This window comes from Homo sapiens, chromosome 6, assembly GCF_000001405.40.
Source record: "Homo sapiens chromosome 6, GRCh38.p14 Primary Assembly".
Classification (NCBI taxonomy): Eukaryota; Metazoa; Chordata; class Mammalia; order Primates; family Hominidae; genus Homo; species Homo sapiens.
Window position 1 is genome coordinate 24,508,899 of NC_000006.12, and position 15,688 is coordinate 24,524,586.

General features: G+C 42.1%; 1 protein-coding gene across 3 annotated transcripts in view, besides 5 other annotated features; it reads left to right on the plus strand.

Annotated features, from left to right (window-relative positions):
- Positions 1 to 15,688, plus strand: part of ALDH5A1 (aldehyde dehydrogenase 5 family member A1) — a 42,239-nt gene that overhangs the window by 13,930 nt on the left and 12,621 nt on the right. The window contains exons 5-8 of one of the 3 annotated variants that reach the window (NM_170740.1): positions 2,932 to 2,970; positions 6,269 to 6,412; positions 11,503 to 11,646; positions 13,869 to 14,027. In NM_170740.1, the coding sequence (NP_733936.1) occupies positions 2,932 to 2,970; positions 6,269 to 6,412; positions 11,503 to 11,646; positions 13,869 to 14,027 (486 nt within the window). The remainder of the gene's footprint in view (positions 1 to 2,931; positions 2,971 to 6,268; positions 6,413 to 11,502; positions 11,647 to 13,868; positions 14,028 to 15,688) is intronic. The other 2 variants (NM_001080.3, NM_001368954.1) reach the window with 2 other exon arrangements.
- Positions 4,844 to 4,933: a silencer, noted in NCBI's record as "silent region_16990". NCBI's record gives its function as "represses an Ori minimal core promoter by ATAC-STARR-seq in GM12878 lymphoblastoid cells {active_cell/tissue: GM12878}" and the evidence as "EXISTENCE:reporter gene assay evidence [ECO:0000049][PMID:35858748]".
- Positions 8,579 to 8,628: an enhancer, noted in NCBI's record as "active region_24152". NCBI's record gives its function as "activates an Ori minimal core promoter by ATAC-STARR-seq in GM12878 lymphoblastoid cells {active_cell/tissue: GM12878}" and the evidence as "EXISTENCE:reporter gene assay evidence [ECO:0000049][PMID:35858748]".
- Positions 9,139 to 9,338: an enhancer, noted in NCBI's record as "active region_24153". NCBI's record gives its function as "activates an Ori minimal core promoter by ATAC-STARR-seq in GM12878 lymphoblastoid cells {active_cell/tissue: GM12878}" and the evidence as "EXISTENCE:reporter gene assay evidence [ECO:0000049][PMID:35858748]".
- Positions 12,137 to 12,186: a silencer, noted in NCBI's record as "silent region_16991". NCBI's record gives its function as "represses an Ori minimal core promoter by ATAC-STARR-seq in GM12878 lymphoblastoid cells {active_cell/tissue: GM12878}" and the evidence as "EXISTENCE:reporter gene assay evidence [ECO:0000049][PMID:35858748]".
- Positions 13,556 to 13,605: a silencer, noted in NCBI's record as "silent region_16992". NCBI's record gives its function as "represses an Ori minimal core promoter by ATAC-STARR-seq in GM12878 lymphoblastoid cells {active_cell/tissue: GM12878}" and the evidence as "EXISTENCE:reporter gene assay evidence [ECO:0000049][PMID:35858748]".

Genomic DNA, 15,688 nt, shown 5'->3' on the forward strand with positions numbered 1-15,688 from the left:
TGGGCCATTTGTATATCTTCTTTTGAGAATTGTCTATTATGTTCTTAGCCCACTTTTTGATGGGAGTGTTTTCTTTGTTGTTAATTTGTTTGAGTTTGTTGTAGATTCTGGATATTAGTCCTTTGTCAGATGTATAGATTGTGAAGACTTTCTCCTGCTCTGTGGGTTGTCTGTTTACTCTGCTGACTGTTCCTTTTGCCATGCAAAAGCTCTTTAGTTTATTTAAGTCCCAGCTATTTATCTTTGTTTTAGTTGCATTTGCTTTTGGGTTCTTGGTCATGAAATCCTTGCCTAGGCCAATGGCTAGAAGGGTTTTTCCAATGTTATCTTCTAGAATTTTTATAGTTTCAGGTCTTAGATTTAAGTTCTTGATTCATCTTGAGTTTATTTTGTATAAGGTGAGCGATGAGGATCCAGTTTTATTTTCCCACATGTGGCTTGCCAATTATCCCAGCACCATTTGTTGAGGGAGGATTCCCTCTTTCTCTATCTTGTGGAATAGTGTCAATAGGATTGATACCAATTCTTCTTTGAATGTCTGGTAGAATTCTGCTGTGAATCTGTCTGGTCCTGAACTTTTTTTGGTTGGTAATTATTTTACTACCATTTCAGTCTGTTCGGGATATCTCGTTCTTCCTGATTTAAGCTAGGAGGGCTGTATATTTCCAGGAATTTATCCATCTCCTCTCGGTTTTCTAGTTTATGTGTGTAAAGGTGTTCAGAGTAGCCTTGAATGATCTTTTGTACTTCTGTGGTGTCAGTTGTAATATCTCCCATTTCATTTCTAATTGAGATTATTTGGATTTTCTCTCTTCTCTTCTAATGGTCTATCAATTTTATCTTTTCAAAGAACCAGCTTTTTGTATCATTTATATTTTGTATTTTTGTTTATTTCTATTTCATTTAGTTCTGCTCTGATCTTGGTTATTTCCTTTCTTCTGCTGGGTTTGGGTTTGGTTTGTTCTTGTTTCTCTAGTTCTTTGAGGTGGGACCTTAGATTATTTATTTATGCTCTTTCAGACTTTTTGATGTAAGCATTTAGGGCCATGAACTTGGCTCTTGGCACCACCTTTGCTGTATCCCAGAGGTTTTGATATGTTGTATCACTGTTGTCATTCAGTTCAAATAATTTTTTAATTTCCATCTTGATTCCATTTTTGACCTAATGATCATTCAGGAGCAAGTTATTTAATTTCTATGTATTTGCATGGTTTTGAAGGTTCCTTTTGGAGTTGATTTCCAGCTTTATTCCACTGTGGTCTGAGAGAGTGCTTGATATAATTTCAATTTTCTTAAATTTATTGAGGCTCATTTTGTGGCCTATCATATGGTCTATCTTGGAGAAAGTTCCATGCACTAATAAATAGAATGTATATTCTGCAGCTATTGGATAATGTTCTGTAAATATCTGCTAAGTCCATTTGTTCCAGGGTGTAGTTTAAATCTAGTGTTTCTTTGTTAACTTTCTGTCTTGATGACCTGTCTAGTGCTGTCAATGGAGTATTGAAATCCCCCATTATTATTGTGTTGCTGTCTATCTCATTTCTTAGGTCTAATAGTAATCATTTTAGAAATTTGGGAGCTCCAGTGTTACATGCATATATATTTAGGATTGTGATATTTTCCTGTTGAACGAGGCCTTTTATCAATATATAATGTCCCTCTCTGTCTTTTTTAACTGCTGTTGCTTTAAAGTTTGTTTTGTCTAATATAAGAATAGCTACTCCTGCTCACTTTTGGTGTCCATTTGATTGGAATGCCTTTTTCCACCCCTTTACCTTAAGTTTCTGTGAGTCCTTATGTATTAGGTGGGTCTCTTAAAGGCAACAGAAAGTTGGTTGGTGAACTCTCATCCATTCTGCAATTCTGTATCTTTTAAGTGGAGTATTTAAGGCATTTACATTCAATGTTTGTATTGAGATGTGAGGTACTATTCCAGTCATCATGCTATTTGTTGCCTGAATACTTTTGGGTTTTGTTTTGTTTTGTTTTTTAATTGTATTTTTGTTTTATAGGTCCTGTGAGATTTATGCTTTAAAGAGGTTCTGTTTTGATGTGTTTCCAGGATTTGTTTCAAGATTTGGAGCTCCTTTTATCAGTTCTTGTAGTGTTGGTTTGGTAGTGGCGAATTCTCTCAGCATGTGTTTGTCTGAAAAAGACTGTATCTTTTCTTCATAAATGCAGCTTAGTTTCTCTGGATACAAAATTCTTGGCTGATAATTGCTTTGTTTGAGGAGGCTGAAGATAGGGCCCCAGTCCCTTCTAGTTTGTAGGGTTTCTGCTGAGAAATCTGCTAATCTGATAGGTTTTCCTTTATAGGTTACCTGGTGCTTTTGCCTCACAGCCCTTAAGACTCTTTCCTTCGTCTGAACTTCAGGTAACCTGATGACAGCGTGCCTAGGGGATGATCTTTTTGTGATGAATTTCCCAGGTGTTCTTTGTGCTTCTTGTATTTGGATGTCTAGGTCTCTAGCAAGGCTGGAGAAGTTTTCCTCGATTATTCCCCCAAATATGTTTTCCAAACTTTTAGAATTCTCTTCTTCCTCAGGAACACGTATTATTCTTAGGTTTGGTTGTTTAACATAATCCCAGACTTCTTGGAAGCTTTGTTCATATTTTCTTATGCTTTTTTCTTTGTCTTTGTTGATTGGGTTAATTTGAAAACCTTGTCTTTGAGCTTTGACGTTCTTTCTTCTGCTTGTTCAATTCTATTGCTGAGGCTTTCCAGAACATTTTGCATTTCTATAAGTGCACCCATTGTTTCCTGGAGTTTTGATTGTTTTTTATTTATGCTATCTATTTCATTGAAAACTTCTCCCCTTATTTCTTGTATCTTTTTTTTTTTTTTTGTGACTTCCTTAAATTGGGCTTCGCCTTTCTTTGTTGCCTCCCTGATTAGCTTAATAAATAACTATCTGAATTCTTTTTCAGGTAAATCAGGGATTTCTTCTTGATTTGGATCCATTGTTGGTGAGCTCATGTGATTTTTGGGGGGTGTTAAAGAATCTTGTTTTTTCATATTATCAGAGTTGGCTTTCTGGTTTCTTCTTATTGGGGTAGGCTCTGTCAGAGGGAAGGTCTAGGGCTGAAGGCTGTTGTTCAGATTCTTTTGTCCCACGGGATGTTCCCTTGATGTAGTAGCTCCCCCTTTTCCTAGGGATGTGGCTTCCTGAGAGCCGAGCTGTAGTGATTGTTATCTGTCTTCTGGATCTAGCCACCCAGCAAGTCTACCAGGCTCCAGGCTGCTACTGAGGGTTGTCCGCACAGAGTCCTGTGATGTGAACCATCTGTGGGTCTCTCAGCCGTAGATACCAGCACAGTATTTGGGGTGTCTCCCAGGTCCTGCAGGAGCAATCTGCTTCCTTCACAGGATCTGTATGCTCTCCCAGTTTTCCTGATTTATTCCTGCAGTCGTTCTGGAGCAAAAGTTCACAATGCAAGCCTCCACATGCTGTTTTGTCCATCCGAGTGGGAGCTGCAATCTAGTCCTGCTTCCCATCCACCATGATCTCTAAAATTATCTTTCTTTTCACCTTCGATTTTTCTTGAGGTTATGTGTTGTGTTTGTTCATGCTTGTGTTCCTTCTAATTTGGTTTTCATTTCTGAAATGATTTACTTCTTTCTTCTGATTCTTTCCTATATTCCTTCACCTCATTTCCAAAGTTTTCTAGCCTCAGTTCATGTTGGTTGTTCTTTTGTGTCTTGATGTGATTTTCTTGTCATCTTTTACCTTGTTTTGAAATTGTAAGTTACAGTTTGGGTCTGGTTTTTAATGTTGTTTGTTTTGTTTTGTTTTGTTTTGTTTTTGAGACAGAGTTTCACTCTTGTTGCCCAGGCTGGAGTGAAATGACACAGTCTTGGCTCACTGCAATCTCCGCCTCCCTGGTTCAAGCGATTCTCCTTCCTCAGCCCTCCAAGTAGCTGGAATTGCAGGCACACACCATCATGCCCGTCTATTTTTTGCATTTTTAGTAGAGACGGGGTTTTGCCATGTTGGCCAGGCTGGTCTGGAACTCCTCACCTCAAGTGATCCACCCACCTTGGCCTCCTAAAATGCTGGGATTACAGGTGTGAGCCACCGCACCTGGCCCAGTTTGGGTCTGTTTTGTGGGCATGTCTTTCTGGTATGCTTTTGTTGTCTATAGGGATATTATTCTACTTCTTATTATTTTTTCTATTTTTTTCTTTTTTTTCTTGAGACAGAGGCTGGAGTACTGTGTTGCTATCACGGCTCACTGCAGCCTCGACCTCCCAGGCTCAAGCGTTTCTCCTGCCTCAGCCTCCCAAGTAGCTGGGACTACAGGTGTGCACCACCATACCCAGCTAATTTTGTTTTTTATTTTTTCGTAGAGATAGGGTCTCACTATGTTGCGTAGCCTGGTATAGAACTTCTGGGCTCAAGCAGTCCTCCCACATCAGCCTCCCAAAGTGCTGGGGTTACAAGCATGAGCCACCACACCCAGCCTCTTTTCTTTTAACAACTTTTTATGGGATTTGACCTCAGTGTTCTTGTCAGAATTTTATTTTTATGTGAAGTTAGTTTTCTGAACTTTTGGAAGAAGGCCCAGTTAGGAATATAGCTTCTTTTCCTTCACAGTGTACCTTTTGCTTCCTTGTGTATCGTGTTCAAAGATAAGGTAGCTTGCTTCCTGGCTGGCTCCATCCCCTTCCCCTGTTTTTATCAGGGCCTCCTCATCTTTCATCACACGGCTCCCAGGGGCTGGACTCTCCATGCCCTTCATTCCTTATTGCAGCATCCCATGTACTCACCTACTATTGACATTGCAGCATCCCATGTACTCACCTACTATTGATAGGGCAAGGCCCTCCCACTTACAGCTGCTGTTCTCAGAGGAACAGCTGTGGACTATTTGGGGTTCTCTGTTATTGGGTATACCACACGGCCCGTTGCTGCCCCCTGCTTCCTCTCACACAGGTGCTGATATGACGGTCAGGTCTTGTCAACACAGGTGGTATATTCTTACCCACTTGTAATTTGTGGTTTGTGGAGATACCTTGTTGTAAATGTTTGTTGTAATTGTCTTGTGAATGTCTCTGAGATTTGGGGTTTGCTGTCTAATTGCTGTTTTCATGAGGATATTGAGGGAGACTCACAAACTCATCTTCCCAGAATCTCCAGTCAGATTTATGTAATAAGCTAATTGTTAATGGAATCCAGAAATTAAAATAATTCAGGATATGTCTTATCCAAAGGGAATCTCTATGGAAAGAGCATGAGTGTCCAGATCAGGTAGCTGTGGGTTTGCATGCGGGTTCTGTTACTAGCTGTGGCCTTGGCTGCATTCTTCTCTGCTATGCCTCCCTTTCTTCATCATCCCCCTGGGAAATCACCTATGGAAAGGCTTTGCACTGCTGCCCTGCACCTAGTAGGTGCTCATTAAATGCCCCTTTTCACTTTCCCACCCTTGATTCTACAGGTGAATCAAGTAACTTTTTTCTTGGCATCTCCTTTGATTTTTCTCAGGGCAGAAATTCAGGTTTTTTTATTTGCTTCTTTATTAGTTTGAACAGACCGTGGCATTGAAATGCATGCTCTGGCCAGGCCCGGTGGCTCACAACTGTAATCCAAACACTTTGGGAGGCTGAGGTGGGCGGATCACTTGAGGCCAGGAGTTCGAGACCAGCCTGGCTAACATGGTGAAAACCGTCTCTACTAAAACTACAAAAATTAGCCAGGCACGCACCTGTAATCCCAGCTACTCGGAAGGCTTAGGCAGGAGAATCACTTGAATCTGGGAGACAGAGGTTGCAATGAGTGGAGATTATGCCAATGCACTCCAGCCTGGGTGACAGAGCAAGACTGTCTTAAAAAAAAAAAAGAAAGAAAGAAACTTATACTCTAAGAATTTTGTTTGTTTGTTTGTTTTTTTGAGACAGGGTCTTGTTCTGTTCCCCAGGCTGGAGTGCAGTGGCGCAACCTTGGCTCACTGCAACCTCCACCTCCTGGGCTCAAGTGATCCTCTCAACTCTGCCTCCCAAAGCGCTGAGATTACAGGCATGAGCCACCATGTCCGGTAGAAATTTTATTGTAATGATCTTTAACAACCCATTAATATTAACGTGACTTTAGCACTAATAAGAATTATATTTAAACTTCAAATATATTCTTAGTCTGTCCCCAGTGTCAGCTTAATTTTTCTTCCATTACTTTTTGGGTTAAGTATCTATTTATTTCTCTTTTCTTTTTTTTTTTTTTTTTTTCAGTTTGGTAAATTGTTGGCACATGTTTGCTGTTTCTCTTTATAGCTTGCAAGCCAGGCTGGGATTCCTTCAGGTGTATACAATGTTATTCCCTGTTCTCGAAAGAATGCCAAGGAAGTAGGGGAGGCAATTTGTACTGATCCTCTGGTGTCCAAAATTTCCTTTACTGGTTCAACAACTACAGGAAAGGTATGTGACTCAAGTTTCAAAGAAAACAAATGTCTTTCTAATATTTTATCTTGATAGGTTATAAAAATACTATTTCATCCTGATCACCAATTTTGGAAAGATTTCCAGCAGAGTGTTAAAAGCTCTGTCGCAGGCCAAGCACGGCGGCTCATGCCTGTAATTCCAGCACTTTGGGATGCTGAGGTGGGCAGATCACTTGAGGCCAGGAGTTCGAGACCAGCCTGGCCAACATGATGAAACCCCCTCACAGAAAATACAACAATTAACCAGGCATGGTGGTGCACACCCGTAATCCCAGGTACCCAGGTGACTGAGGCATGAGAATCACTTGAACCCGGGAGGCGAAGGTTGCAGTGAGCCAAGATTGTGCCACTGCACTCCAGACTGGGTGACAGAGCAGACTCTGTTTCAAAAAAAAGGTCTGTTGGTTGAATAAAGTAATATCTGACCATCCTCTGGGGATATTTTGGACAGTTCTTTGTGGCACGACATAGGTTCCTGCTTGACAAAACCAAAGAAATTGGGGCAGCGAGGGTCCCATTATTTTTGCATTATTTGTTGTATATGAAGTGGGTGAAAGTTCTCCACTGTATTTTTTTCAATTCTGGAATGCATCTTTCTTTCAATAATCTAGAGTTAGAGATTCCAGAAACACACAATTAATGTTGAAATGGATGTTTTTGAATTGAACAAAAATGTGTTTAGTCTAAAAGTACTTAGAGAAATGGAAAGGTCTTTTTCTTTGAGTTTTTTTTCCCTTAAATGATGAAATGTTCTTTGCTAAAAACTTAATGTGTATGCCTGTAAGTAGATGTTTATTTATCCTTTTAAATGTCCAAAAGAGGGCCGGGCGCGGTGGCTCACACCTGTAATCCCAACACTTTGGGAGGCCGAGGCAGGCGGATCACAAGGTCAGGAGATCAAGACCATCCTGGCTAACACGGTGAAACCCCAACTCTACTAAAAATACAAAAAATTAGCTGGGCGTGGTGGCGGGCGCCTGTAGTCCCACCTACTTAGGAGGCTGAGGCAGGAGAATGGTGTGAACCCAGGAGGCGGAGCTTGCAGTGAGGTGAGCCGAGATCACACCACTGCACTCCAGCCTGGGCGACAGAGTGAGACTCTGTCTCAAAAAAAAAAAAAAAAAAATTAAAAATTAAAAAAAATAAATAATAAAAAAATGTCCAAAAGAGAAAAAATCAAGGTGGAACAAAATTTTTGTTTATGGTGTTTCTCTTCAGATGGTGTGCTTTTTTCTACTAGTTTATATCTAGATATACACATATATGTATCTGTACTCACATTGTTCATGTCCATAAACACATAACAGATAAAATATATAAATCTGCCCAGGCGTGGTGGCTCACACCTGTAATCCTCACACTTTGAGAGGCCAAGGCAGGAGGATCACTTGAGCCCAACCTAGACAACCTGGTGAAACCCTGTCTCTACAAAAAAAAAAATTAGCTGGGCTTAGTGGCACACACATGTAGTCCCAGCTACTTGGGAGGGTGAGGTGAGAGGATCACCTGAGCCTGGGAGGTTGAGGCTGCAGTGAGTTGTGATCATGTCACTGCACTCTAGCCTGGGCAATAGGTGTGAGACCCTGCCTCAAAAAATAATAAAAATAAAAAAGTCTAATTTCAAAGATTTTGTGCATCTATGGTCATTTTAGAAACCATGAGAAGCAGGAGGGAATAATTTAACTTTTTTTTTTTGAGACAGTTGCCCTGTTGCCCAGGCTGGAGTGCAGTGGCGTGATCTTGGCTAACTGTAACCTCTGCTTCCTGGGTTCAAGTGATTCTCGTGCTCAGATTCTTGAGTAGCTAGGATTACAGGCATGTGCCACTACGCCTGGCTAATTTTTGTATTTTCTGTAGAGATGGGGTTTCGCCATGTTGGCCAGGCTGATCCGGAACTCCTGGCCTCAAGTGATCCTCCCTCCTTGGCCTCCCAAAGTGCTGGGATTATAGGTGTGAGCCAGCGTGCCCAGCTGGAATAATGTACTTTTAATGTCTCCCAACCATAATCACTTTTGTCATGCTATAAACTCATACTCAGGGAGTAGTGCTGTGGAATCCTACCATTCATTCATAATAGAAATAGGAATTTTTAGATCCATAAACTGCTATGCCCCTGATCAGTGGGTCTTACAATGCAAACTTATCCGCAGAAAGATTCAAATGTTACTACGAAGTAGTTAGAAAGAAAGAGGGAAGCCTGGGAGAAAGCGTTGTAAATCCTTCTCATTCAAGCCAGAGAAATTTCCAGGATACTGGGCGAAGGGCAGCAACTCAGTTTTCTCAGCAAACTATCCTCATCTAACAGGGCTCCAGGAAAATATCAGCCATGACCCTGCCAAGTCCAGCTTTGCTCCTCTTGACCCAGGACAGTGATGCACCTCTAGTGACTGAACAGGAAATGTGACAAGTATAGCTGAAGGGATAACTGATGCATAACTAAGCAAGCACCTCTGCTGAGCTGGTCTTCAGAGATTAGGGGCTGAGCTTCTGGTCCTGGGGTGGAGAACCTTGCCTCATAACTGAGGCATACACAGCGAGCCTGTTCTAGGCATGCCTGCCCTGCCCTTGCCACTTTCTAGGGGGGCCACCCCTCCCAGGACCCCGCTGAGAGGACAGCAGCCATGTTGTAAAGCATATGATACCTCATCTCTTCCTCTGTTCAGAAAACTGAATCATGAGTGGTCATTGACTTGAGCGAAACAGAAATTGTGGGCTGGCCAGTGACCTAGGACAAGTAGCCTGGCATAGAAGGGTGGGCTAGGTCAGGGCCTTTTCCTCTAGGAATTCCCCTCTCCTTCACTAGAGAAGAGAGAGAGCTGTTTTGCTTTCTGTTTCTTTCTCTTTCTTTTGCCTATTAAACTTCTGCTCCTAAACTCAAAAAAAGAAAAAGAAAGAAAGGTAGGCTGGGCCAATCACATGCTGTCTTTGGAAGCTGAGGCCCTGAGGAGGTCAGCCCATGGGAACTGGAGCTGGGAAAAGATTCATTAAGACATGACAGGAGTTTACACTATACCCAGTGGCCAGGGCAAGCCGCCTTCCTGGAGAAGCAGAGACTGAGTGGGGAGAGGACACTGTCAGAGGACACAGAGCCAGTGCAGGTGGAGGGACAGACACCAGAGACAGGACCTGTGCTCAAGGCCAGGTGGAGGCAAAATGGAGTGACCCAACAGTGAGAATCATTTTTGCACTGAAGCAAATCCAGGAAAAGTCAATGACGTTTCTTAAAAATTTTTAAATAAAAACATAAAAAAAGTTTAAATAGTTATGTTGCGTCCGATAAAGAAATATGTTTAGTCTTAAAACTTGAACTACTTTGTTGAACAGTAATGTTTCAGAGAAGATTGTTACTACCATTTGATTGCTGGAATATTAACATACAGACACATACACAGTACCCACACAGGCCTAGCTTTCCAGCCATTCTGTGTTTTTACCAAGAACCGTGTCACAAAACTCATGACCTCAGAATGTACAACACTTGGGGGGCAATCCTAGAGCCACCTTGGGCTTGCGAACACCGTCTGTTTCACTCGAACTATCTCAAGTGTGGTCCCATCTTTCCTGCAGCCATGACTAGACAAAGACCTACTATCCTTAATAAAGCATTTAAACATCCCTAAGCAGCTTCTTAGGCTATGAAATCTCTTACTGGATATTTAAACTATAATAGCTATAGGTACCAAAAGCCTTATGATTATACATTGAGCTAGCAATTCTACATGTTCATCCTGACAGAATCATCACAGTGTTTTTGTCTTTTGTTTTGTTTTGTTTTTGAGATGGAGTCTCGCTCTGTAGCCCAGGCTGGAGTGCAGTGGCGCGATCCACAGCGTTTTTTTAATGGCAAGGATGGAAACAACCTAAATGTCCAACAGATGGGGCCTGAATAAATAAATTACAGAAGAGCCATGCAGTGGAATACTATGCAAGCATCTAAAGGAATGTTCTAGGCCGGGCACAGTGGCTCACACCTGTAATCCCAGCACTTTGGGAGGCTGAGGCAGACAGATCACTTGAGGTCAGGAGTTCAAGACCAGCCTGGCCAACATGACGAAACCCCATCTCTACTAAAAATACAAAAATTAGCCAGGTGTGGTGGCACATGTCTGTAATGCCAGCTACTCAAGAGGCTGAGGCTGAAGAATTGCTTGAACCCAGAAGGTGGAGGTTGCAGTAACTGGAGATTGCGCCACTGCACTACAGCCTGGGCAACAGAGCGAGACTCCATCTCAATAATAATAATAAATAAAGTTCTAGAAACATATGTGCTGACACAAGAGGATCTTCACATTAGAGTGTTACATTAAAGGAGCAAGATATAAAGGGTTATGAAAATTTTAAGATAGACGTCCCAAATATGTGATTCATTGGGAAGATAAAGCAGGTTACGAAACGGTATAATTATATAATTATACCATCCTGTTTTTTTTTTTTTAAATGTACATGTACCTGAATCTGCATGGCTACATTCTAAATGGATGTACTTTAAAATGTTATCAGTGTAAGCTGTGGGTTGTGGGATTCTAGGTGATTTTATTTTCTTATCTCTATGATTTTTAAGCCCATCATATAATTGTTTTGAATAGATAAACACTTACTTATATGGTTGAAAAATTAAGACAGTATTAATGTTTACCATGACAAGTCTCACCCTACCCCAACCCTGACTCACTCCCTCTTTCTATAAATAATGACTTTTAGTGTCTTGTCATCCCAGTGTTTATTTTACTAATTTATTTATTTATTTAATTTTTGAAATGGAGTCTCCCTATGCTGCCCAGGCTGGTCTGGAACCCCTGGCCTCAAGTAATCCTCCCACTTCAGCCTCTTAAGGTGCTGGGACTACAGGTGCACACTACCACACCCAGCCTCTTCCCAATGTTTCTTTATCAAATACAAGCAAATGTAAATATATATTCTTATTTCTCCGTTTTCTTATGCAAAGTTATCCCATGTACACCACTGTGCACCTTGCTTTTTTCACCATTTGGTAATTTTTTTAAACAAAGGCTTAACAATCCTGGTAATGGATTTCTGTGCTCACAGCTTTCTCTCCTCTGCTCACAGATCCTGTTGCACCACGCAGCAAACTCTGTGAAAAGGGTCTCTATGGAGCTGGGCGGCCTTGCTCCATTTATAGTATTTGACAGTGCCAACGTGGACCAGGCTGTAGCAGGGGCCATGGCATCTAAATTTAGGAACACTGGACAGGTGAGTCCTGGAGAGTATTTCAGGATGTGTGTTTGCGTGTGCATGTGTGAGTGTGTGTATGTGTGTGTGTGTGATATGTGTGCATGTGAGTGTGTGTGTGTGTGCGTGTGTGTGTGTTACAAAGATCCCACCACCTCTACTGCCTTATATCCCATAAGGAAACTTTTGGGTTCCTTCCATTATTCATTCTTTATTCATTGACTCTTTCAGCAAATATTTAGTATATGCCTTACTTTTTATTACCAGGGTTATACTAGGCTCAGAGGGGCCCCCCCAAAATAAGGTACAGTCCCTGGCTTCAAATAATTTTCTGAACAGCAGATGTCCTTTAGTCAAATTGTTCTCTGTTTTCTTCTTTCCCCTATCCTTTTAATCTGGTTATTTTTATAGTTTTCTTTCATTGATCTTTTTTCTACTGAACGGATATAATCTCCTCAGACACAGAACAGCCTTGAACAATTGGGGTCTCTGAGGCCAAGGGAAAGAAAGTAAGAAAATGTTGAGGAGGGTGGTGGCTGGAATAACTCAAAACCCTGTTGCCTGCTATGACCCAGTGGGGCCTCGCTGTCCCGAGATGGAGGGAGCCTCAGAGGTGCCCTCTACAGGGCACAGGCCCACGCCAGCAGTGTTTTAGAGGAGCATCCAGGCTGTCCTGGGAGACCAGAGGCCTGAGCTCATGTCTTCCTAGGAAATCCTGGAATATTTGATCTGTCAGGGACCTTCACAGTTATCAGCTCTACAAACGTTGCATTTTAGAGATGAGGAAATGAAACTCTAGAAAGAAAAAGTGACTTAGAGATCAGACGTCTTTGGGCCACAGTGTCAAATCTGCTGAGGAGCTGGGACTCTGAGCCAAGGCTCCTGTCTTCCAGTTCTATCCAAGCTGCTGCCAGGGTCCTGCCTTCTTAAATATTCTTAAGCATTCATCTTAAAAGTACCATCAATATGTAATTTTAAATGCATTCTAGAAACAGAGTAAATATCCCTGAAAGGTTATATTGTGAAAAAACTGAAATGTGTGATATTCTCTATCAAATAATTTTCATCCTTGCCTTGGCCTTTGGTAATTAAGTTTTTCCCTTCCACATAACCTAAATAAGCTTGGTTTTGTCTGAAATAAGTATATTTTCCTTCATAAATACAAAATGTCAATATATGTTACCATCAATTACACTGTAAGGCTACAACTTGGGGACAGGTATGGTGGCTCAGAACTGTAATCCCAGCATTTTGGGAGGCCAAAGCAGGAGGATCACTTGAGCCCAGGAGTTGGAGACCAGCCTGGGCAACAGAGTGAGACTCTGTCTCTACAATTTTTTTTTTTTTTTTTTTTTTTTTGTGTGACAGAGTCTCACTCTGTTGCCCAGGCTGAAGTGTAGTGGCATGATGTCAGCTCACTGCAACCTCCACCTCCCGGATTCAAGAGATTCTCCTGCCTCAGCCTCCTGAGTAGCTGGGACTACAGCTAATTTTTCTATTTTTAGTAGAGATGGGTTTCACTATGTTGGCCAGGCTAGTCTCGAACTCCTGACCTTAGGTGATCCACCCACCTCAGCCTCCCAAAGTGCTGGGGTTACAGGCATGAGCCACTGCGCCCAGCCAAAAAAAATTAAAAATTAGCTGGGCATGGTGGCAAGTGCCTATAGTCCCACCTACTTGGGAGGCTGAGGTGGAAGAATCACTTGAGCCCTGGAGGTCAAGGCTGCAGTGAACTCATCACTACTGCACTCCAGCCTGGGCGACAGAGCGAGACCCTGTGTCAGCAAAACAAAAGACTATAAGTTGGTGTTGGACCACATTCCTCTTAGCCTCTGCTGTTGCTGCAGCATCACAGTCTCCTAGGAGAATTGCACTCTTTCCCCACCCCCCAGGGAAACAAAATAAAAGCCATTTGAAAAAAACATGGATTGGGTGGCTTTTTTTTCTTTTCTTTCGTGTGTGTGTGTGTGTGTGTGTGTGTACAGGTGCTTATTGCCAACTAATCACTGATGCATAGCAGCTGTGTAGCATAGCAGCTGTGGAGGGAACTGGAGGGGAACATGCACTGACTCAGTGCTTTTATCTTTGGGGCCAAGCCCACGTGAGGAGGAAAATGGCAGTTTGAGCACATGACAACCACCGAGGGAAGTGTTTTCACAGAGAGGCGGTAGCAGCCACACGTTCACTGGTCAGGTCTGCAGCTTCTGACAGACTGTGTGGGTTTGTTTTTGTCTCCTGTCCAGACTTGTGTTTGCTCAAACCAATTCTTGGTGCAAAGGGGCATCCATGATGCCTTTGTAAAAGCATTCGCCGAGGCCATGAAGAAGAACCTGCGCGTAGGTAATGGATTTGAGGAAGGAACTACTCAGGGCCCATTAATTAATGAAAAAGCGGTAGAAAAGGTAAGTATATTGTATTATTTGTGAAAGTAAATTTCATGGTTTCAATATGAAAAGCTTAATCAGCAAAAAACACTTTGGCTGGAGGGGTGGGGATAGAGAGGGGTGGGTTGACAGAATATTACAGCTAGACAGAAGGAATAAGCTCTGGTGTTCTACAGCACTGTAGAATGACTGTAATTAGCAACAATGTATTGTATATTTTCAAATAGCTATTATTAGAAGAGTAGATTTTGAACGTTCCCAGTATAAAGAAATGATCAATGTTTGAGGCGATAGATGTGCTAACTATCCTGATTAGAGTATAGAGTATGAGAGATCTACATCTATACATGGAATCGAATGGAATTTTCAATGATGTTTTCATACAAAAACCACAAAGGTTAAAATAAGTAAAAAATTAATAATAGCTAAAAAAAATGATGTTAAAAGGCAAAAAAAAAAAATGAAAACAAAAAAGTCATTTTGGTAAAGTGCCCAGCAAGCCTATTTTGTAAACAATGGAGAAACCTGAGAAAAGTGAATTCTGCCTACCAGTTATATGAATCGGGTTGTTGTCTGGTCATGAGCTGCTATAGCCCTGCCATTGCACCAAGTCCCCATGCGGTCTGTCACTGTAGCTCTTTACTGTCCTCCCTAAATTTTGTTATAGTGATGATAATTCTATCCCTCACTGCCTCAGCAATTAGGATCTTGAGACAAAGTTCATTCATCTTTTGGAACACCTATGGAATGGAAGACTGGCTTGGTTTTGAGATGGTTTGCGTTTCGGCTGTAATGCTGATGTTGTCCTGTTCTTTCTTCTCTTGATGACAAAATCCCTGTCTAAAACAGTCCTTCATGAAAGTATCCCAGCCGGGGGTGCAGAATCACAGATGCCGCGTTCAGGATTTAGAGATATTGAGGGGAAACTGCTTTTAGGAAAGATTTGTTTGTTTAAAAAAATGTTATAATCCATACTACTAGCTATATGAGACTTCTCTCCTTATTCTACTGTTTTAAAAAAATCCATTTTGGAGTCACAAGAAAGTTTCTTGTAATATCAAACATCCAGTTTTTTGTGTTTTTTTTTTTTTTTTTTGAGACGGCGTCTCGCTCTGTTGCCCAGGCTAGAGTATAGTGGTGAGTCTTGACTCACTGCAACCTCCGCCCCACTGAGTTCAATTGATTCTCCTGCCTCAGCCTCCCGAGTAGCTGGGGTTACAGGCACCCACCACCACGCCTGGCTACTTTTTGTATTTTTAGTAGTGCTGGGGTTTCACATGTTGGCCAGACTGCTCTCGAACTCCTGACCTCAGGTGATCCACCTGCCTCGGCCTCCCAAAGTGCTGGGATTACAGGCGTGAGCCACCATGCCTACCCAGAAATGGTTTTAACGGAATATTTTAAATCAGGAAGACAGTAGAAGCTGAAGATTGTGTGTGGGAAAGAAGGGAGGAGAGGTGGTCAGAGGGAGACACACAGTGGAGGCACAGCCAGCCCCTGGATGCAACTGAAGAACCAGAAGCAAGTGACAGCCAAGTCAGTACTCATCATGGGAAGCACAGCCCCACCGCTGTTCCTCAACCTCCTCAGAGCCTGAGAACCAAGCCCTGACTCCATGGCTGCCTCCACCCCGTGGGCAGTCAACTCAGCTGAACCCACATCCATTGCCTTGGGAAACC